We start from the raw sequence: 23,371 nt of genomic DNA on the forward strand, positions 1-23,371 counted from the left end.
TAACTGATAGCTGCTGCTTTTATTATGACAATCACAATTACTGCCATTATTATAACGTTGGGTGCCATACATTGACCAGAACAAAGCAAAATCTGAGCAGGCTTCCGAGGTTTCCTATGCAGGCAAGTATGCCCTTTGGGTTTCTCCTTGAGACTGCCCTACACACAGGACCCTTCCTCCATGTTGTTTGACTATTAAAAAGAAGATTTGTTAATGCTTGTTTTTAGCTTTCTCTCCCTCTTTTTTTATGTGTTAAAGAGGATTTGTTTTTGTTTTCCTTTCTCACAGGAGTGATTGGGGCAGATGTGAGAGGGCACGGCCTCATCTGTGAGGGGCAGCCAGTGACGTCACGGCTGGCTGTCATCTGTGGAACGTCTTCTTGTCACATGGGGGTGAGTCCACTGAGCACAAAGGCAAGGCCACCACACAGCAGGAGGTAGCCTGGAAGGAGACCCTGAGTGCTGGCTTCTTCACCCTTTCACTTCTTTCCTCTTTTCCCTGCCTGCCCCTTGTGCTTTGTCTAGCCAGAAGCCCAGCTCCCCACTCTACCTCCCTTGCTTAACATTTGCTGGATCTTTTTCCAGGGGCCAAATTCTTAGTAAGCATGAAAAGGATTGAGTGCTCCCTTTGACGTCACCCTGGCCAGAGAGCCCAGGCATGAATGGTGACATCTGATCCTAAGGTGACAAAGTCTAGCTCCCCCAGACTGATCTGTCCCTAATGGGTAGCGGGGTCTTCTCGGCAAAGAGTGTCTGTTTTCCTTGGCCAGGGAACTCTCTCTCAATCAATATAAATCCATCTCCCTGGGAGCGTCCTGATGATCTATAGAATTAGCCTGCGTATCATGACTTCAAAAGAACACTGATAAGCAATTTTCACTTTGTTAATTTTTCTCCATGAATTAGTGAAAAGGCTTTCTCCAAGATTGCAGTTAAAATTTAGTGCCTGCCCTAAAATTTATATCTTCTTTAAATGCATGAGTCTGAAAGCATTCCATTCCGATAAGTACCCATTTCTACCATATTTTTATTTAAAAGTCATTACTCTGTTAAACTTAAATCGACGACTCTTTGGAATTTTCCCAGATAAGTATAATAGAGGGCAGAGTGGGGGAGGAGCAGGGAGATGAGCAGAGATTAGAGCGGGACACAGCCCAGGGCAGAACCAAAGCAGCTATGGAGGAAATTAAGTGGGATGTGAGACTGTTTTGCAACTGTAGGGACCCCTGAGCCTTTTTACCATCAGATATTCTAGTTCAGTTGATATAAATACATGTACTTACTTATCAATCCCTGCTCTTGTGCTAAACTGTGGATATAAGAATGACATCGGCTCAGTGGGATGAGATGAAGTTATAACAGGTATTAGAATATAATGTGAGGCCCCCCAATGTAGATACAAATTGAACTCATGATACTAAGCATCTGTTATGTGCCAAGCAATATGCGAGGTATTCTTGCACATGGCATCCCATTTTCTATGGCTGAGGGAGCCAGCCCGAGTGGTTTCCAGTCCCACTTCCTCAGTTTACTAAGTGTGGGCCTTTGGGCAAGGTACTTAAACTCTCTGGGTCCCAGATTCCTCATCTACAATATGTAGAGAGTGACAGCACCTGTCAGAGTGCTGCAAGAATTAAATGAGGTGATACTAAGTGCTCCACATGCAGTAAGCACATCACAAGGGCTCACTCTTAATCACTAGGACTGTTGTTGTTACTGAGCAGAAAGCAAACAGTGGCTGACTCTGCCTGGGAGGGTGCAGGGTGATAGAATCTTCTTGAGGTGACATTTGTGCTGGACTTTAAGGAAATAGATTTCCTTCTGTTTGGGCTCTGGGCAGTCTTGAATGGAATTTTTCTAAGTTTAAAAATTGCAGCATATTTGGCCAGACACAGTGGCTCACGCCTGTAATCCCAGCACTTTGGGAGGCCGAGGTGGGTGGATCACCTGAGGTCAAGAGTTCAAGACCAGCCTGGCCAACATGGTGAAACCCCGTCTCTACTACAAATACAAAAAATTAGCCGGGCGTGGTGGCAGGCACCTGTAATTCCAGCTGCTTGGGAGGCTGAGGCAGGAGAATTGCTTGAACCCAGAAGGCAGAGGTTGCAGCAAGCCGAGATAGTGCCATTGCACTCCAGCCTGGGCAACAAGAGCGACACTCCATCTCAAAAATAATAATAATAATTTCAGCATATTTCTTCTGCTCAGCAGCCCTTTTGTAAGGCTCAGCTGTCCCTGAAGGGAGAGATCTGCAGAGGCCTGAGGCCTCTTTAAGCCAGAAGGCACCAGCCCAGGAGCCAGCCCTTCTTTCCCTTGATATGAGTCTACACTTGTTAGATTGTCTTCACTGAATACTGATTTAATCCTGTTTAAATTATCTCTTATTTTCACAGGGATACATCTAATCAGGCTTCTCCTGGGAGATCTGAATCTCAGGCATTTTTACCCCACTCAATTCAGATTTCTGAACAGAAGCAAATCTAAATGGATGCAAGTGTCTCTGTGATGGCCTGCTTCTTAGTCTTACTGTCTCTTAATGGAGATGAGGCTGGCTTTCCCTACCCATTTAATGTACACATTTGGGACCTAAAGCGTAGAAAAGTCCAGTAATTTTCCCAAAGTCACAAAGCTTTGAAGTTCTTGAGCTAAGAACTGAAATCTAACTCTGATTCCAAAGCTCATACTCCTCCTTGCCTCCCTGAATTGTGCATGAAGATGATGTACCCATAGAGGAATGGTGAGAACATGGGCTTTTACATTGTCCAGAGGCAAGCTTGAACATCTGCTCATGCATGTTTTGGCCCTCTGACCTGAGTGAGCTACTTAACTTCTCTAAGCTTCAGATTCTTCATCCATCAAATTGGGGATAATGATGCCAGTCTCACAGGGTTGTTGAGTAACATGCATTATGTAGGTTTGTACCTAGCACACAGCAGACACTCAAAAATGGTGGAGATTGTTATTAAACTTTCCTAGTGATGTAAACGGCTCACATGAAGCAACTGTTTGGGCTTTAACGAGTTTGATGGGCAGCTGCAGTTGGTTGCGATGAATGAGGGCCATAAAAGGCCAGTTTATGATGGCTGTGTTGTGCTGGAAATAAAGTCCCCACCCCCATCCTGCTTTGTACTTGGGAGTGGGAAGGGACCCTCTGGGCCAAGGGGATTAATCATCAGCTTTAATGTTATGTCATGAGGGTGAGACTGTGGTCATGCTGGCATGGGAAAGTGCCTTTGATCTCCTCAGGTGCTGGGAACCCAGCAACAATAACACCTTTGTGAGGTCTAGGAGAGGTGCAGGTCTGAGGAAACACTCCCAGGGAGACTCAAGGACCCCCTTTGTTGTGGTTCTGGCAAATAAAACCGCCACTGTGAGGAAAAATTAACCAAACAGAACACAGGGACCAAAGGGTGATGCGGGCTTTTCAAAAAGTGGTTTTCAGCATGATCTGAAGGATCCTCTTTCTTCCTGTCTGCTTACTTCTGATGTTTCCAATTTAGTAGATTGAGACAAAATTCCCAGGAACGTTTTGTGCTTGATCCAGGTTGCCTCTTTCTAGATCACCCAAAAAGAATAAATGAATGAACGAATGACCACATAAGTGAGTATTGGTAAATACTTAGAAGCTTCGTACCTCCAGGTTCCTGTTGCTTCCAGGAATCTGGAGAAAAAGCCTGAGGTTGAACATAAGACATGTTAATAAGGCCTTTGATATTTTAGAAGATACAAGCATGGGCTGCACATTTATCTTCCTTGTGGGTGATTTAATTAACAGGGGAAAAATGCCATTCTTTTTTTAACTCCATGAAAGCAGAGCTGCTTGTTCAGAGTTAATTACTACCAAGTCACCAAAACCCCAGATAATACACAGCAGGGGTTAGCCAGAGGTTGAAAAGTCATGGGGTAAGATGGAGCTGATCCTTGCCATTGTACTGACATCCTTTTCTTGAGCTGTCAGGTTGGGTTGTAACTTGGCAACTTGTCTTCCAGTTAGCATGTCAGATGGGGACAGGACCCTGGGGGGGTCGGGGTAGGGAGAAACACTGAGGAGGTAAGATTTGAGCAGAACAATACCTGAAGAGAGCTGGGAACTACATCTGCATCTTAAATCGCTCAGAACTGAAGTTTTTTCAGTCTTAATATTGAGATAGTGGTTCTCTATCATTGAAGGGATGTGGAGACTCAAAGACATAGGCTCATACGCTGCCCCCACCACTTACTGTGTGAATTTAGGCAGGATGCTTCATCTTTCAGTGCCTCAGTTTCTGCATCTGTTAAATGTGAGTGATAGTATTTACCCATAAAGTTTTGTTCAGGTTCAAATTAGGCCATCTTTGTAAATGACTTGGCACTGTACCTGGCACAAAATACCAAATATGATATTGTTATTAAAAATGAGTTGTTAATCACATGAACAATCCATGTGGTTATGGACTAGAATTAGAGACATCAGTATGAACTCATATTGGGGGAACCCACCCCCAATATTTCAACGTAGGTTCTTTCTATTTTCCGTAAGTGTCAGCCGGCTGAGAAATAAAGAGAAAGAGTACAACGAGAGGAATTTTACAGCTGGGCTGCTGGGGGTGACATCACATATCAGTAGGACCATGATGCCCACCTGAGCCTTAAATCCAGCAAGTTTTATTAAGGATTTCAAAAGGGGAGGGGGTGCAAGAACAGGGAGTAGGTCACAAGATCACATGCTTCAAAGGCAAAAAGGAGAACAGAGATCACATACTTCTGAGGAAACAGTACAAGGGCAAATTCAGAACTACTGATAAGTGTCTATGTTCAGCTGTGCATGTATTGTCTTGATAAACATCTTAAACAACAGAAAACAGGGTTCAAGAGCAGAGAACCGATCTGACCTCAAATTTACCAGGGTGGGTTTTTTCCCCACCCTAATAAGCCTAGGGTACTGCAGGAGACCAGGGCATATTTCAGTCCTTATCTCAACCTCATAAGACAGACACTCCCAGAGTGGCTTTTATAGACCTCCCCCCAGGAATGCATTCCTTCCCCAGGGTATTAATTATTAATATTCTTTGCTGGGAAAATAATTTAGCGATATCTTCCCTACCTGCACATCTGTTTTAGGCTGTCTGCAAGAAGAAAAATATGGCTCTTTTTGCCCGACCCCACAGGCAGTCAGACCTTATGGTTGTCTTCCTATGTTCCCTAAAATCACTGTTATTCTGTTCTTTTTCCAGGTGCACTGATTTCATATTGTTCAAACACACATCTTTTACAATCAATTTGTACAGTTAACACAATAGTGGTCCTGAGGTGAAGTACATTCTCAGCTTATGAAGATAACAGGGTTAAGAGATTAAAGTAAAGACAGGCATAAGAAATTATTAAAGTATTAATTTTGGGAACTGATAAATGTCCATATTAAAATGAAATCTTCACAATTTATGTTCAGAGATTGAAGTAAAGATTGGCGTAAGAAATTATAAAAGTATTATTTGGGAACTGATATATGTCCATATTAAAATGAAATCTTCACAATTTATGTTCCTCTGCTGCAGCTCCAGCCAGTCCCACTGTTTGAGGTCCCTGACTTCCTGAAACAAACTCATATTTAGTTTAACATAGATGCAGATGGATGCATATAGAAATAGTTATGGATATATATACATATACAGGTTAGTAAACACATATTTATTTCCTGGCTCTGTTAGCTGAGATGGTCTAGAAATAAGGATACCTCAAGAGCTAGTTTTTACAAGCACATAGTGTCCAGATCATGGTATCTAATACCATTATCCAATACAAAGAACCAGGACTCCTTGGAGAAATAGTTGATTTTAGGATTGGAATAGGAAATATACAAGATGAGCTTGGAGCATTTGCAGTGCCAGAAAGTTAGGAAGTTCTCAACAAAAAAGATGAGAATATGTCACAGGGAGCCAACTGTGGGAGCTCCCACTAGCCAAAACTGGAACAATTTAAGCAGTAAAATGAAGTATTATGAATTATAACTCAAAGTATAACATAAATATCCATAAGACCATACTGACATAAATTATTTTGAATAAATAAATCAATGAAAAGAAGAGAGACATCTCCCATGCAGAAAGATTCCAAATAATTTATATAAATGTTCCACCATCAAGGAGGTGGAGCATAACTTTCCACTCCTTAAGTGTGGGCTGCACATAGCGATTTCCTTCCACAAAATATGGTATGGAAAACGGGGGAAGAGTAATTTTACATTGGAGAAATATGAGAAACAGCATCCACGTGACAAGGTCAACATCAACAATGATAAGTCATGTTGATAGTACGTACCCTTGATATGATGTAATGAAAATGACACTTTGTCTCTGTTGTGTTCATCCCCCAATCCTATAAGCCCAGTCTAATTACCAGGAAAACACCAAACAGATCTTAGTTAAGGGACATCCTATAAAATACTTGACCAGTATTTCTCAAAGCTGTCATCCAGGTCATCAAAAAACAGGGAAAGTCAGAGAAACTATCACAGCCAAGAGGAACCTAAAGAGCCATGATAACTAAATGTAATATGGTATCCTGGATGGGATCCTGGAGCAGAGAAAGAACATTAGGTAAAATCTAAGGAAATCTGAATAAAGTATGGTCTTCAGTTCATGATAATATATCAGTGTCATTCACTGTGACATATATACTTGACAAGATAGTAATGATAGGGGAAATGTAACTGGATGTGAGGTATATATGATCTTTACAACCATCTTATATTGTAAAACTATTCTAAAATTTAAAATTTATTTTTAAAATATTCATTAACTATTCACTCATAAAGAAAACTTTTTTTTTTAATTTACCTGGCTAAGTGCTAAAAGTCTTCATAAGATAAAATGTCATGCCTGCCTTCAAAGAGCTCAGGCACATTGAGAAAGACAGACAGAAAAAGGAGATACTACAATACAAAATGGTAACTACTATAGTTAATGCATGGCTGGAGTGTGGTGGAAGTAGGAAGAAGGGGCTGTCCCAAGTCTTGGGTAGATGAGGAGGTTTTCCTATAGGAAGAGATATTTGCAGGATCATGGCTTCCCCGCCCCCACTGAGACACTGTTCCTGCCAGCCCAATTTCTGTAGTAGGCCCTTTCCTCAGTCTTCTCCACTTTGTTTTTCTTTGCTGTGTCCACAAAGCCTCACAGCTGACTTCCCCTGAGGCCTGAGCAGGATGTGGGTGTGTATGAGCCCTTTGGGAGGGCACCACAGGGAGACAGCACAGTCATGTATTATGAACTGATGGTCTTCTGTTACTAGCTGAGAAGAGTGGGCAAGTGGGACCAGTTTCTCTGTCATGGTCTCTTTAACAAGTGACATTGGCAGAAGTTACCAGAGGGGTGGAGTGGGATGGGATTCCACACGGTACAGTAGACCACTGTTACACCTAACAATGAAAGTGCTGAGGTGCTGCTCAGAAGGTGCCTCGCTTCCTCTTTGTTTACCAGGACCTGTTGTCGTCAGCCCTCTAGGAACCAGCATTCTCAGGACACTCTCTGTGTCAAGACTAGCTCTCAGACTGCATGTTTTGAAAACAAAGTATATGCTAGGCATTGATTCGGCGAGGAGAGGGTTGATGTGGTTCAGTGGACAATGAGAGACAGACTGTGCACTCAAGAAGCTCAAGGTAGCTTGTTTTTCAAGACATTTGAGAAACATAGAAACATTATGCTGGACTGAGTATGTTTAATATCTCTGAACCCAGGCAGTAGCACCCTTTCCTCAATCCTCATGAGGAGATAAGCAGTAATACTACTTGCTACCATCTGTTGACCACGGACCATGTACTAAGCACCTTACTAAAACTTTGTATCATGTAAATAGCTCAACAATCCTACCAAGTAGGCACCATACTGTCCCTCATTTTACAAGTTAGGAGACTGAGGCAAAGAGTGGTTAAGTGGGTCACACAATGTGTAGGAATGCAACACTTTGAGCCCTCTGGAAGACTGACCAGAGAGTCCTTCCTCCTCCCTTTCAGCTGTATAGCTTCCCTCAAAGGCCTAGAGGAAAGGGAGAACAGACTCAATTAAAAGGGCCAAACATGAGCAAATGTTTGAACAGACATTTCACCAAAGGAGAAATTTGAATGAAAAGCACTGGTCATTAGGGAAATGCAAATTAAAACCACAGTAAGATTCTCTACTACTCCTACTCATCTTAGAATGGCTGAAGATGTGAGGAACTGTAGCTCTCACACACCACTGGTGGGAATGTAAAATGATGCAACCATTTTGGAAAATGGTTTAGCAGTTACAAAGTTAACATATTCCTACTACGTGATCTAGCCATTCCACTCTTACAAAAGCATGTATTCATACAAAAATTTGTACAGTAATGTTCATACCAACAAATAAAGCTTTGTAATAGTCCAGCACTGGAAACAACCGAGATATCTTTCAAGAGTGAATAGATCAACTCTTGGTGTATCAAGAGAACAAAATACTACTAAGCAGTAAAAGGGAATGAACCATAATATAAGGTACAACATGGATTAATCACACAAAATAATTATGCTGAGTGACAGAAGCCATTAATTCTTCCAGGCAACTTGCAGTCTTTTGTGGAAAAGTGGGCTCAGGCCAGCTGATAGGTAGATTCCCCCTAAAGGCTTTTGTTCCTGGCCTTCTGAGATGCTTTGTTTCACCTGACTTTGCCATGTTCCTGGTGGACTTTCAGAAACATGAGGCCAGATATCCCTGCCCAGCTTTTATAGAAATGGAATGTCTGGATCACAGGGTAGATGTAAGTTTTAAGAAACTGCCAAACTGTTTTCCAAAGTCACTGTACCAGAAACGAATGCAAACTTTCTTGAATAAAAAATAGTTCCATTATTTAAATTCTTGCAAAAGCAAACTAATATATAGTGACAAAAAGCAGATCAGTAGTTGCCTGGAATCATGAAATGGGCACAACAAGGGCCAGGAAAGTAGGATCAAAAAGGGGCACAAGGAAAGATTTGGGTATGTTTATCTTGATTGTGGTAATAACTTCACTGATCTATGCTATGTCAAAACTTTCCAAATCAGACATCTTAAATATGTACAGTTTATTGAAAGCTATTAGCTCAATAATGCTTTTTAAAAACAGAAAAAAGATCGATTTTGTATCTGGAGACTTTACTGAAGTTGCTTATACACCTAAGGAATTTTAAGGCTGAGATGATGGGGTTTTCTAAATATACAATTATGTCATCTGCAAACCGAGATAATTTGACTTCCTCTCTTCTTATTTGAATACCCTTTATTTCTTTCTCTTGCCTGATTGCCCTGGCCAGAACTTCCAATAGTATGTTGAATAGGAGTGGTGAGAGAGGGCATCCTTGTCTTGTGCCGGTTTTCAAAGGGAATGCTTCCAGCTTTTGCCCACTCACTATGATATTGGCTGCGGGTTTGTCATAAATAGCTCTTCTTGTTTTGAGATATGTTCATTCAATACCTAGTTTATGGATTGTTTTTAGCATGAAGGGGTGTTGAATTTTATTGGAGGCCTTTTCTGCATCTATTGAGATAATCATGTGGTTTTTGTCATTGGTTCTGTTTATGTGACGGGTTACACCAATAATAGAGAGTCAAATCATGAGTGAACTCCCATTCACAATTGCTACAAAGAGAATAAAATACCTAGGTATACAACTTACAGGGGATATGAAGGACCTCTTCAAGGAGAACTACAAACCACTGCTCAAGGAAATAAGAGAGGACACAAACAAATGGAAAAACATTCCATGCTCATGGATAGGAAGAATCAATATCGTGAAAATGGCCATACTGCTCAAAATAATTTATAGATTCAATGCTATTCCCATCAAACTACCATTGACTTTCTTCACACAATTAGAAAAAACTACTTTAAATTTCATATGGAACCAAAAAAGAGCCTGTATAGCCAAGACAATCCTAAGCCAAAAGAACAAAGCTAGAGGCATCATGCTCCCTGACTTCAAACTCTACTACAAGGCTACAGTAACCAAAACAGTATGGTACTGGTACCAAAACAGATATGTAGACCCATGGAACAGAAGAGAGGCCTCAGAAATAACACCACACATCTACAACCATCTGATCATTGACAAACCTGACAAAAACAAGGAATGGGGAAAGATTCCCTATTTAATAAATGGTGTTGGGAAAACTGGCTAGCCATATGCAGAAAACTGAAACTGGACCCCTTCCTTACACCTTATACAAAAATTAACTCAAGATGGATTAAAGATTTAAACATAAGACCTGAAACCGTAAAAAACCTAGAAGAAAACCTAGGCAGTACCATTCAGGATGTAGGCATGGACAAAGACTTCATGACTAAAACACCAAAAGCAATGGCAACAAAAGCCAAAATAGACAAATGGGATCTAATTAAACTAAAGAGCATCTGCACAGTCAAAAAAGCTGTCATCAGAGTGAACGGGCAACCTACAAATTGGGAGAAAAATTTTGCAGTATCTCCATCTAACAACTGTTCAGAAATCAGTTAGAGAGCCTCTGGCCTTAGTGTCTTTGGGCTCTAACCACAGAAAAGCCACCCTTCAGACCATGCTACGTTTTTAGAGCTGTGTTCTCTGGGTGATGTCTATAACAGCACTTTACAGCTTCCTCAGAACACCAAAGAAAACGTTCCCCAGAGGCAAAGGGTGTGGCCTGGGCCTGGGGGGCCCATGTTTCATCCAGGACCATGAGGCACTGCACAGTGTTTGTTTGTTAGAGGAGCAGAGGATGCTCAAAATCATTAGTCGTTAGGGAAATGCAAGTGAAAGACACAGTGAGATCCACTCCACACTTACTAGAATGGCTGAAGTTGTGGTGATAATGTGGGGAACTGGAACTCACATGCCACTGGCAGGAATGTCAAATGATGCAACGACTTTGGAAAACATTTTAGCAGTTTCATAAAACCTACTCTACCCTGTGATCCAGACATTCCATTTCTATAAAAGCCAGGCAGGGATATCTGGCCCCATGTTTCTGGAAACCCACTAGGAACACGGCAAAGTCAGGTGAAACAAGGCATCTCAGAAGGTCAGGAACAAAAGCCTTTAGGGGGAATCTATCTATCAGATGGCCTGAGCCCAGTTTTCCACAAAAGACTGCAAGTTGCCTGGAAGAATGGTGTAAGTTCTTCCTCTAGAAGTAGAGGACGAAAATGGTGCAGCTGTGTTTTAGCTCCCTCCTGATTGGCAGCATGGGTTCTTCTCCCAAGGGTACAAGGGAATGGGGTGGGATGGGGGTGGTATATGGGAGTGGAAAGTTCTGGAGGACTGCCTTGATTAGCAGCAATGACAATAACAGCTAATATTTATTATATGTTTATCATGGTCTATTTGGATTTTTTTAACCCTCATAATAACCTTATACAGTTGTCAGAATTATCTTACCAATTTATGGGGACTGAAACTGAGGCTCAGAGAGACAAGTGACTTATCCAAGGCTGTCTAGCTAGTAAGTCCTTTCTTTTTTTTTAAGACAGAGTCTTGTCGCACTCTTGCTCAGGCTGGGGTGCAGGTGCGCCATCTCGGCTCACTGCAAGCTCTGCCTCCCGGGTTCACGCCAGTCTCCTGCCTCAGCCTCCTGAGTAGCTGGGACTATAGGCACCCGCCACCATGCCCGGCTAATTTTTTGTATTTTTAGTAGAGACGGGGTTTCACCGCGTTAGCCAGGATGGTCTCGATCTCCTGACATTGTGATCCACCCGCCTAAGCCTCCCAAAGTGCTGGGATTACAGGCGTGAGCCACCGCGCCTGGCCGTAAGTCTTACAGATAGGTTTGCCACTCAGGCAGTTGGATTCCAGAGCTCAGACTCTCAACAATAAGCAGAATGATGAGACACAGGCTGTGGGATGGGTTGACCATAAACACACGTGTTTTGTGGGAATGAGGTAGAGTGATTACACAGCAGATCTTTCCCAGAGCCTGATGAGAACTGCACAGTTAAGGCTGGATCACAGCTAGACCGCAGTGCTTTCATTTTCCCTTTTTCCCAGTCTTCCAAATCACTTCCTTTCAAGAAGCCACCAGCCTAATGATAACAATAAAAATAAACAACATCACTTGTCACCATCATCCCCTGGGAAGAGAGTATTTATGAGACTCCCTATTTAATCTTCCCCTGTTCCCTGCTGCGCTGTGGTCAAGTACCAAATTTGGCAATGTGAAGACATGCGGCTGACTTCCCAACTCATGAAGATGTTTTTCTATTTGTTTGGAGAGCATGATGAAAACCACATTGATTTTTTTTTTCCTTTTCCTATTTACCACACATCTGTTGTGTGGGTGATTCTGATATTGTGGCTGCTGAGGGTTACCTGGCAGTAACCCTCAGTAAGAGGAGAGGGTTTGTCCTTTTCCAGAAGTTTGGTGTGGATGAAATAGATGATGAGGCAGTCATGGTGGAGCCCTAACCAAGCATTGGGTCCCGTGCCAAGTGCCTGCATGCATGAGCTCATTTAGTTCTACATACATTTAGTTCAGAGGCTTTAGTATTTATGCCTTGTTTTTCTCTTAGTTTTTCATCCTCTTCTCCTATTCTGTTTGTGTGTTCCAAATGTCTGTTTTTTCATACATTACATTTTTATATCTTTTGAAAGTACTCTTAAGAGCTGTCAGAAGTTTGAGGTAGTTTCTACTCTTTCACTTAACCAATGGTTAGAGCCCCAGGAGAAATAACAGTGAGATCAAAGAACTCAGAAGAACCAATGGGAAGCTTTTTGAGCAATCAGCACTGAAGGAATGAAATTGAAAGTCCCTACGTAATTAACCATCAGTGGCTCCCTACTGCCAATAGAAAAAAAAAAGTTCAGATGAGACAATGAGTGGACCTTCTGGCTGTGTTCTTATGGGTTTGGGATATATTGCATTAGAATAAAACCGAAGTCTTAAATCCTAAATGAAAGTTACTGTCAGTTATACTGACAGTGATACTGTCATGTATGTTGTAAATCTTTTTGTTGAAAGATAATTTACATACCATGAAATTTATCCCCTTGTATTTTTAAAACATCTAGAGAACTGAGTATAGTGATGTTTGAGAAAGAGGAGACTTACTGCCCATTTTTTAGGTTACATTATGGGATGATACTAGTGTGTGGTCTTTATTACTTAGGGAGATAACAGAAGGATATCATACAATAGTACATTGCCATTTACTTGTATGTACCTGACACATAATAGGTGTCCGTTAAATAATAGATATATACATGAGCATAAGGACAGACAGAAAAATACCAGTTAGCAACTGTAAAGGTTTGTTGGAGAAGAAATCGTGCCATACCTATTTGATTTCTGTTCTCTGATGGAGTGAAAGGCTGGGCAGAGAAAGGGAGATACAGCATATAAACCACCAAGTTATTGGTCAGGCCTTAGGTTCTTTCCTTGATTAACTGACCCTTCCCACATGCCACAGCAGCATTGGTTAAGTCAGTCACACAATTTTATCTGTGCACAACCGAGTTGTCCACTGAATTATACCTCAAAGCAGGCCAAAAATATATATATATATGTAAAACTGATTGAAAAGCATTAAGAACAACTAATTGCCAATTTGTATTTGGGCTGTTTAGTTGATCGTTGTAGCCTTGTGTGGCACCAGGCAAAGACTAAGCCACAATTCTGTTGGTTGAGGAAATATTTAACTGGAAGATGCTTTTGAATGAATGATCAGCTACCCAGGTACTATTTGACATACAGCAGTCTTGGGGCTTCCATGACTTATTCTCCTATCATCTGTTTGCATGATAAAATTACAGGTTTCCATGTAATCTTTAGCAGATGTATTTGCTATGATCTTGGAAGACAGGGCATAGCTTCTCTGGAATTAAGGGAATGGCCCAGGAAAAAGAAGAGGTGCCCACAGATAAAATGGTCAGTTATTTTTATATATGTGTGCATTCTTCTGTGGTGTGCAGAACACCAAATTGCTTGGACCTGTTTATTCCCACAGACTCACAGTCAAACTGGTCCTGAATATTAAATCTGATGGTTTCATTCTCCTGATAAAAATCCTTTGTCGATAAAAAATCCTTTGTCAAGTCTCCTGAATGCTAGCTAGGCATACGAGATCCAGCATTATTGCCCCTGTCTACCTCTGATACCATTCCGTGCTATCCCTCACCATTCATCCTGTGTTCTAGCAGGTGCATCTGCACACGCTTGTTTGAATTCTATGGAACCAGAGATGTTTGAGCATAGAGAATGACCAGATTTTAGGCAGTTAATACTGTATATATACAATATAATGCATAACACTGCCAGTGAAGTTTGGAGCAGCACCTGTAATCGTGCATACTAATATCTCTACAGTAAAACATATGAATATTCACACCAAACAGGTTAAGTCAGCTTTAAATGGCTTGATCCATTCAGATCAGATTTTACCATCAAATGAATTGTGAAAAGACTTTTGGTATTTGAAATGCTTTGGGTTGAAGAAGTGTGGTAGACCTGTACTTGCTTTTCTTGAAAAGAGCCTGTGCTCTCTTATTCATCTGGCCTTTGGGCATGTTGTTTTCCCTGCCTGGAATGGCCACATCTCCCTCTGCCTGTTGAGTAGCATCATTACTAGAATCATCATTGCATATACTGAGGATTTACTATGTTGTTACTCCCAGCAAATTCTATGGTCGGGGGGGCGGGGGGGGGTGTTCTTATTGTATTACATCCCCCCAGTGTTTAGATGAGGAAACTGAAGCTTGGAGAGGTCACAGAGCTAGGAAGAGGTAGAGCTGAGGTTGAACCAAAAAGTATGGAGACAACAAACCTTGGGTTCTTAGTTACTACACTGTCCGTGTGTGCGTCTTCCCCAAAGGTCCAGTTCAGGTGTCACCTTCCTAAGGCCCTCTTCCCTTCCTCCACCACGTTTAATAGATTATGACTCCTCTGGGCCTTCACAGCTGTTTATGCATAGCTGTGGTGCACTGCTTCTCATTCTCTGTCTTTCCCATGAGCCTAAACTCCTTGAGTAGTTGGGGAAAAATGTCTACTTCAGTGTTCTATCTCTAGGGCATACAGTAGGTAGTCAACACATAGTTTATAATTAAGTTAGTTTAAAGTGATACGGTAACAGATAACAATTTGTATCATCATTAAAATAAATAGTAAACACCAAATCACAAGTTCAAGGATATAAAATTTGGATTTACAAAAGAAAAAAATACTCAGAAAAAAAAAGGCTGCTCATTTTTATGCATGGTATGTAAAGAAGAGGAATTTGGGGACAACAGTTCAAGAATGGGCAAGGAACACATTTATACTTAAAAATTATGACAGCTAGGATTTATTAAATACTTCACATGTGACAGTTTCTCTGCTAGGCATTCTGTGTATAAACTTTCTAATCCTCACAACAAATATGTAAGGCTAATTGTCGAATCCCTGAATGGACAAAAATTATAGCTATATAAGAAAGAGAAAGATATGGTAACCATGTCTTAGATCAGAATAAAAAGAACAAAAGGTAATGATCCTAATATATTCAGATTTAACATAAATTAAGCATCATTAGAGGACAGTCACATAAAATTGCACAATAGAATATATTTCCACATCTGAGAGATGATGGAATTGAGGTCAAAGAGATTACAGGCTAGTATGTGGTATTTTATACCCATTCCTTGAATTATGTTAACATGGTACCAGAAGTATATCTTGCTGTCCTCCTCAGAACTGGGTGCAGTTTTGAGCTCTGCTTTTGTAAAAAGCTGTTAGAACCTGAAAGAACCACATAACACAGCTGTAATATTCAAGAGAAAGTGGGTCCCACGAACAAAGATTGAGATTGTTCAGAGAAATGGGGTGGTTCTGATTGCTTAATAGAAACCTCACAGGTTGGCTCTATTATTTTCTTGTTTATGGAAGTTTTTGTGACCGTAAGAGCTAACTTTTCCTTGGTGCTTTAGAGTTTATTAAACGTCTTATGGAATTTGATGCTCAGAATAACTAAGTGAATCAGTCAGAGCAGATGTTTTCTTTTTTTCAAATGAGACTCAAAGAAATTAAGTGATTTGTTCAGTGTCCCACAGCTAATAAATGATAGGGCCAAGACTCAGATATGTATCTGAGCAGACCCCTGAGCCATGTCCACTGCAATCTTGCAATCCTTGGTTCATCTTCATTTACTCAAATTGAAGGATCCTGCGGCTGGTGAATGTCTGGTTCATTGCAGAAGAGTTCCTGGTTCCTTGTCTCTAATTTCCATTGTGACTGTGAATTCTCCATTGAGCTGCAAGCCAGTGACTGTCAATTAATGTGCACAAAATATACCTGGGTAACTGTTTTAAAAATGCAATTCCTCAGGCCCCTCTCCCACAGGGTCTGATTCTCTAAGTCTTGCTGGAAGGGATATATGAGAATCTGTAATTTTAACATGTGCCCAGGTGATTCTAATGGAAAACTTTCAAAAAAACTGCTTTAAGCTCTTTCAGAGTAGCAATTATATCTTTACTTCATTGTTTCCGTAGTGCCTAGCAGAGCACCTTGTACATAGACAGTACTCTAAATTTACACTTGATGAATATAAGAGTGAAGTAAATAAATGTAAAATTAATGTAAAATGAAGGAAAACAAGTTTGAGAATCAGTCAGTTCCTGCCAGATTTGGAGCACACTGAGGAATCCCTTTATCTCCATCCTTTCAAATAAAATATCTCTTGGTAGGTCTGGGTAAGACATACTGAGAAGTCATGACTTGGACAAAGTACCTGGTAGAATCTGCCAACAATTAGAGATTGTGGAATTCTTATTTTCTCATGGAAAGCAGGATGGAGTGAAACAGTGAGAGATCCTGTTTGTAGTTCTGTGCAGACAAACCCAGAAACCAGAACGCAGACACACCAGGACGCAACAGGAAACCACAAAGGCCTGAGATCTTTCAATGTAAATAGGAAGTCAGAGTTTACTTCCGAACCCACAGTGCCAAGCTGAAGTGCAGTGTTTAATCCAGCTCTCTACCCAGCCCTTCCTTGAGCCTGGGCACAGATGAAAGATGATGATGCCACCTGGGTAAAAGCATTCAAAAATGTTTGTTCTGATCAGGTCTTGGAGTGAGCTTCTTTTGTTTGTGCTAGTGAATAATTTGGGACACAGGTGCACTTTGCATTTGAAAGCGTTAATTGGTCTCCTTGGTTTTCCCTGCCATGATATTTGAAGCCACATCTTCCTCCACAAAGTAATTTTAATCCATATACATTCAAAAAGCACTTGTCATGGACAGCCGTCTTTCATATACCCCATCTGTGGACCCCTGGGTCCAGGTGCAGAGTAGTGGAACATTGGTGATGCTTAATATGTACTCTGTGTTCATTGCATTGACATCTGTAATCTCATTTGATTACTACTATTACACTGGGAAATAATTAATAGGATACGATCATCACCATTTTGAAATAAGGAAAATGTAGTCTGGTAGAAAACACATGGATGTTAAAGTTAGGCAGATCTGTGTTCATGTCCAAAAGACTTAAGCTTTCTTACCAGACTGCTTTATTTTATGTAGCCAGTTGTTTAGAGCATTCACTCTGTGCCAGGTACTGGAGAGAAAATGGTGAGCAGTAGACCTAGACTGTACAGTGTAGTGGAGGAGATGAATACTCAGCAAACAATTACAAAAATGTATAATTACAGACCTTGATAAGTGCTTTGCTTTCATACCCTGCTGGGGGAAGTATAAATTGGGCAGTCACTTTGGAAAACAGTGAGGCATTGTCTGATCAATTTGACTGTGCACATGCCCTGTACTCTACCAATTCCATTCCTAGGTAGGAAGCTGGAGAAACAATTGTACTTGTGTACCAGTAAGTGCCCAGAGACAAGTAAGTACAAGAGTATTCATAGCATTATTTTTTATAATAGCTACAAATTTGAATCAACTCAAATTTCATCAATAATAGCATGAATAACTAAGTTGTATTATATTCATACAGTGGTAGACATACTTAAAATGTAGGAACTACAGCTACATATGACAACATAGATGGATCAAACAATTTTAAGTGGAAGAAACAAGACATGAAAGAGATACATACAGAATTATTTCATTCATAGAAAATTCAAAAAGAAGCAAAAAAGACAATGTCTTTTAAAAAATGCCTACAAAAGCACTAAGCTTAGAAAAGACAAGCAAGGGAATAATTACCACAAATATCAGGACACTGGTGAATTAGATGGCTTGGAATTGCAGGTTGTTGAGGTTAAAAGATGCTTTCAGGAAGAGCTTGAGGGAACTAGCATTTGCTTCTGAAGGATACATGAGTACTTAACAGTTTTTTTAATGTTCACATAAGTTTTATACACTCCTCTGTATGTATGATATGTAAGTGCTAGAAAGCAGAGAAGCTATCAGAACATAGAGCCAAGTGCCATATAATTTGGGTGGTCTAGAAGGCAAGGCAGTGATGTTTGAGCTGGGAGATTTTGATTAGGTAACTAAGCAGAGAGCCTGACGGGGAGGGAGTAGGGTTGTGCATGGCAGTGGTCAAGAGAAAAAATTTGTTCAGAAAGAGAGTACAGAAGAATAAGCAGAAGGAAATTGGCAGCTTTGGTGTGGGGCAAGAGAGAAGAATGCTACAAGTAAAGGCTGGAGAAGCAAAAAGGGGTAGCATATGCTGGGCTTGTAAGCCTTCTGAGGGATTTTAGTCTTTTATGTAAGAGAAACTGAAAGGTTTTAAGCACAGTGGATAAGATAATTGAATTACAAAGGATGGAAATAATTCCAGTTTGGAGAACAAATTGGCAAGAGACCTGAGTGGTACTAGGATACTAGGAAACCAGAAGAAGACTGGGAGTCTGTGTGAGAGATGATATCATACTAACTTGTCTCAGATTATGGTGGGGGAGATGAGATGTCGATATATTGGAAAGATGTTTAGAAGATAAAATCAGCAGCACTTCCTTGGTGTGAAAACTGTTGAGGCTGCAGGGCAAACACAATAGAGGCTTATTAGGTATCTCACCCAAACTCCTAAGATGAGCTGCTCCCCAGTGAGTAGAGATATCTGGAGAGAGAGCAGTAGTCGTTCAGGCATTCCTTGGACAGACTGGATTCACTAGAGAGAAACATTTTTGGTTTGCACTGTCAGCTTTGTTTTTAGGTTGTTTTAAATATTTTACCCTTGTCTCTTATGAAAGGTCTTCTCAAGAAGTAGCCATGTGGACACGATATTGCTTTGGTAGTAATTCTGCCAAAAATGCCTGACTTGAATCTGATCATGAGGAAATATCAGAAACCCAAATTGAGGGAGATTCTATAAAATAACTTGCCTCTAGTCTTCAAAAATGCCAAGGTCATAAAAGAAAAACTACAGGAAGATCAAAGGAGACGAAAGAGACATGATATCTGAAGGACATGTGTGATGCTGAATTGAATTGGAGAAACTTTTTTAAAAGTTTTATTGTAAAGGACATTTAGTGGATAATAGATGACATTCTAATAAGATCAGTAGATTAGATAATAGAATTGTATCTATGTATACTTCCTGATAATTGTATTATGGATATATAAGAGAATATCCTTGTTATTATAAAATACACACTGAATTATTGAATATTTTGGAGTAAAAGGACATTATGTCTGCCACTTTCAAATGGTTCAGAAAAACTACATACATATACACATATGTGTGTGTGTATATATATGTTCATATATATACACACATGTATGTTCATATATATATGTTTATGAACAATATGTGAACAATATGTTTATGTAAAACATTGGGAAAATCTAGGTGAATATTATACAATAATTCTTTGTTCTATTTTTACAACTATTTCATAAGTGTTAAATCATTTGTAATAAAACATTTTAAAAGTGTTTTTTAATAGAAGGAAGTAGTCATGTGAAGGCCATGCTTATATTTGGCATAACCATGAGTTAATATACCACTCATTGTGCCCCATATAAAATCCCACTTGAGAATTTATTTTAGAATTTACCATTTGGAAAAGTGTTGTTCAATCTCAAATGGTGTATTTTCATCTTTCCAGTAATAAAAGCTATATAATGGATTACATTTTTCTTCTGGCCCTGGAAGCCAAGGAAACTCAGAGTTAAAAATTTAACACTCAAGCTAAACTGTTGAGCCTTCTACTACATAGCATATTTCCATTCTTCTTTTTGCTGTAATTGTCTTGCATTACTGTTTCTAGTCACTCTGTACTATATTATCTGTGTATGTATGTTTGTGGGAGTGGTAGATAAAATATCTCAAACTCTTTGTATTAGTTTCCTATGGCTGCTATTGTAGCAAGTTGCCATACACTTGGTGGCTTAAAACAACACACATATATTTTCTTATGGTTCTCGAGACTAGAAGTTCAAAACCAGTTTCACTCAGCCAAGATCAAGTGTCAACAGGGCCGTACTCCCTCTGGAGGTTCCAGGGGAAAACCTGTTCCTTGCTTCTTCCAGCATCTGGTGGCTGCTGGCATTCCTTGGCTTGTGGCCACATCATTCCAGCCTTGCCTTCTGTGGTTTCATTGCCTCCTCCTCATCTGTGGTCACATCTGCCTCTCCCTGTCTCTTACAAGAACAGTTATGATTGCATTTAGGCCAACTCAAATAATCCAAGATTGTCTCCTCATGTCAGGATCCTTAATCACATTTGTGGGTCCTTTTTTTTTCTTTCTTTTTTATTTTTTTGCCATATGAGTAACATTCATAGGTTCCAGGGATTTGAACATGGTGATCTTTTCAGGAGCCATTATTCAGCCTACCATACCCTTTATGGAAAGAAGTGACATTTAAATGTGTTTTTTAAGGTACATAAAAATAAAGTATTAATTTATTTGGAAAATATAAAGTACTTCTGCACTCTGTGTATAGTGAAGGAACAAAGATAAAAGAAATCAAATTTCTGTTTAGTGATTTTTCATTGCTTTTATGAATTACATTGAATTTTCTATTATATTTCCTATTTGGTTATTTCTGGAATAGAGAAATATATTTGACTTTTTTTAGAAAGTAAATTATTTGTTAATATGAATGAATAATACCTGTGAGATTTCCAATGAAAAGAAGCAAAGTTTTATACATCAAATTTGCTTCCAAATGCTAATATACTAAAATCAGTGCTAGTTATGTTTAATATAGGTTGCTGAGAAAAATAGTTATCTTTTATGGTTTTTAAAAAGTGTATGTTAATTTATTTTTATCGTTTATTTCTTACTGACAAATGCAAATTGTATATATTTATGGGGTTCAATGTGAATTTTGATATACTATATATTGTAAAATGATTAAATCAAGCTTATTGACATATTCATTACCTCACATACTTTTTTGTGGTGAGAACATTTAAAATCTACTCTCTTAGTAATTTTCAAATATACAATACATTTTTATTAACTATAGTCACCATGCTGTGCAACAGATCTTCAAAACTTATTCCTCCTGTCTAACCCAAGCTTAGTACAATTTGGCCAACATCTCTGCTTTACCCCTTGGCAACCCCACCCTAATAACCAACATTCTACTCTCTACTTCTATGAGTTCAACTTTATTAAGCTTTACATATAAGTGAAATCGTGCAGTATTTATCCCTCTGTGTGTGGTTTATTTTACTTAGCATAATGTTCTCCAGGATCGTCTGTGTCACTGCAAATGACAGAATTTCCTTCTTTTTTAAGACTGAATAGTATTTTGTTTTGAATCTATGGCACATTTTCTTGATCTGTTGATGGACATTTAGGTTGATTTCATATCTTGGCAATTGTGAATAATGGTGCAGTGAACATGAGAGTGCAGACATCTCTTCAACATATTGTTTGCATTTCGTTTAGATACACCCAGAAGTAGAATTGCCTGATCACATGGTAATTTGTCATTTTTTTGAGGAAACTCCATACTGTTTTACAAAATGCCTGTACTAGTTTACATTCCCACAGATTTTTAAAAAGTTAATCTTCTACCCACTAACCTTGCTAAACTTTCTTATTTTTTTAAAATGTGCATGTATTATATATGCTCTGCATGCATTATAAATGTTACAGTAATTTTTAGGTACAACACTAAATATTCTCATATGGTTTGGATGGTCAGTGAAGGCTTCTGTAAGGAAGTGATATCTGTGATATTTTGGTTAGGAAAAAAGTGGTCCAAACATAGAGGACAGTATGAGCTATATATACAAGATCATATCATCTGCAAATTTTGCTTCTCTCTTCCCTTCTTTATATCTTCTTTTGCTGTTAATTTTTGTCTAATTGTGTTTGCTAGGGCCTCTGGTATTATGCTGAACAGTTGTGGTGATAAAAAGCATTCTCACATGCACACATATGTTTATTGCAGCACTGTTTACAATAGCAAAGATTTGGAACCAACCCAAATGCCCCTCAATGATAGACTGGATAAGGAAAATGTGGCACATATTTACCATGGAATACTATGCAGCCATAAAAAAGAATGAGTTCATGTCCTTTGCAGGGACATGGATGAATCTGGGAGCCATCATTCTCAGCAAACTAACACAGGAACAGAAAAACAAACACTGCATGTTCTCACTCATAAGCAGGAGTTGAACAGTGAGAACACATGGACACAGGGAGGGGAACATCACACACTGAGGCCAGTCGGGGGGTAGGGGGAAAGGGGAAGGGAGAGCATTAGGACAAATGCCTAATGCATGCAGGGCTTAAAGCCTAGATGACGGGTTGATAGGTGCAGCAAACCACCATGGCACATGTATACTTATGTAACAAACCTGCACGTTCTGCACACGTATCCCAGAACTTAAAGTAAAATAATAAATAAGCATTCTCATCTTATTTCTAATCTTAGAGGGAATGTATATAAAATTTTTCCAGTGAGAGTGATATTTGCTAGAGATTACAGACAGACAGACAGACAGACAGACACACACACACACACACACACACACACACACACACATTTCCTTATGAAATTGAGTAAATGATCTTCCAAAGCATTCAGGGCAAATAGCAGCCCATGTTTTAATAACCCTAAGAATTATTTTATATGATAGTCCCATTCCATGGCCATGGAGCTCTGTCACTATACTGTGAACTTCTCTATGGCAGGAACTATTCATTCACCATTGTATCCTTACTCTGAACTTCTCTAGGGCAGGAAACTGTTCACTTGCCATTGGATACTCAGTATCTAGCACAATGCCTGTAAGTTAGGCATTCACTATCCATTCAATGAATGAATGGATGGATGAACGATAGTTAATATCTGTTTCATTCTCAAAGCTAGCAAATTCTTTTTAAGCATGAGCCAAAAATATCACTACTTTCCATTTTCTTTATTCAATGAGTTGAGCTCATTTTGCCGCCATCCTTACCTCCTCCCAGCACCTGGTACAGTCAGTAGTCATTTGACATATGAAGGAATAAATGAATGAGTCAATCACAGAGCATT

The 23,371-nt window shown here is 39.6% G+C and overlaps 1 protein-coding gene across 59 annotated transcripts in view; it reads left to right on the forward strand.

Moving 5' to 3' along the window:
• Positions 1 to 23,371, forward strand: part of FGGY (FGGY carbohydrate kinase domain containing) — a 466,353-nt gene that overhangs the window by 257,458 nt on the left and 185,524 nt on the right. For all 59 annotated transcript variants that reach the window (XR_007061929.1, NR_103473.2, XR_007061930.1 and 56 more), the window contains one exon: positions 289 to 392. Coding sequence is in view for 56 of the 59 variants with exons in the window: in XM_011541731.2 (XP_011540033.1) it covers positions 289 to 392 (104 nt within the window). In the remaining 3 variants the exon portion in view is untranslated. The remainder of the gene's footprint in view (positions 1 to 288; positions 393 to 23,371) is intronic.

Source organism: Homo sapiens, chromosome 1 (genome assembly GCF_000001405.40).
Source record: "Homo sapiens chromosome 1, GRCh38.p14 Primary Assembly".
Taxonomy (NCBI): domain Eukaryota; kingdom Metazoa; phylum Chordata; class Mammalia; order Primates; family Hominidae; genus Homo; species Homo sapiens.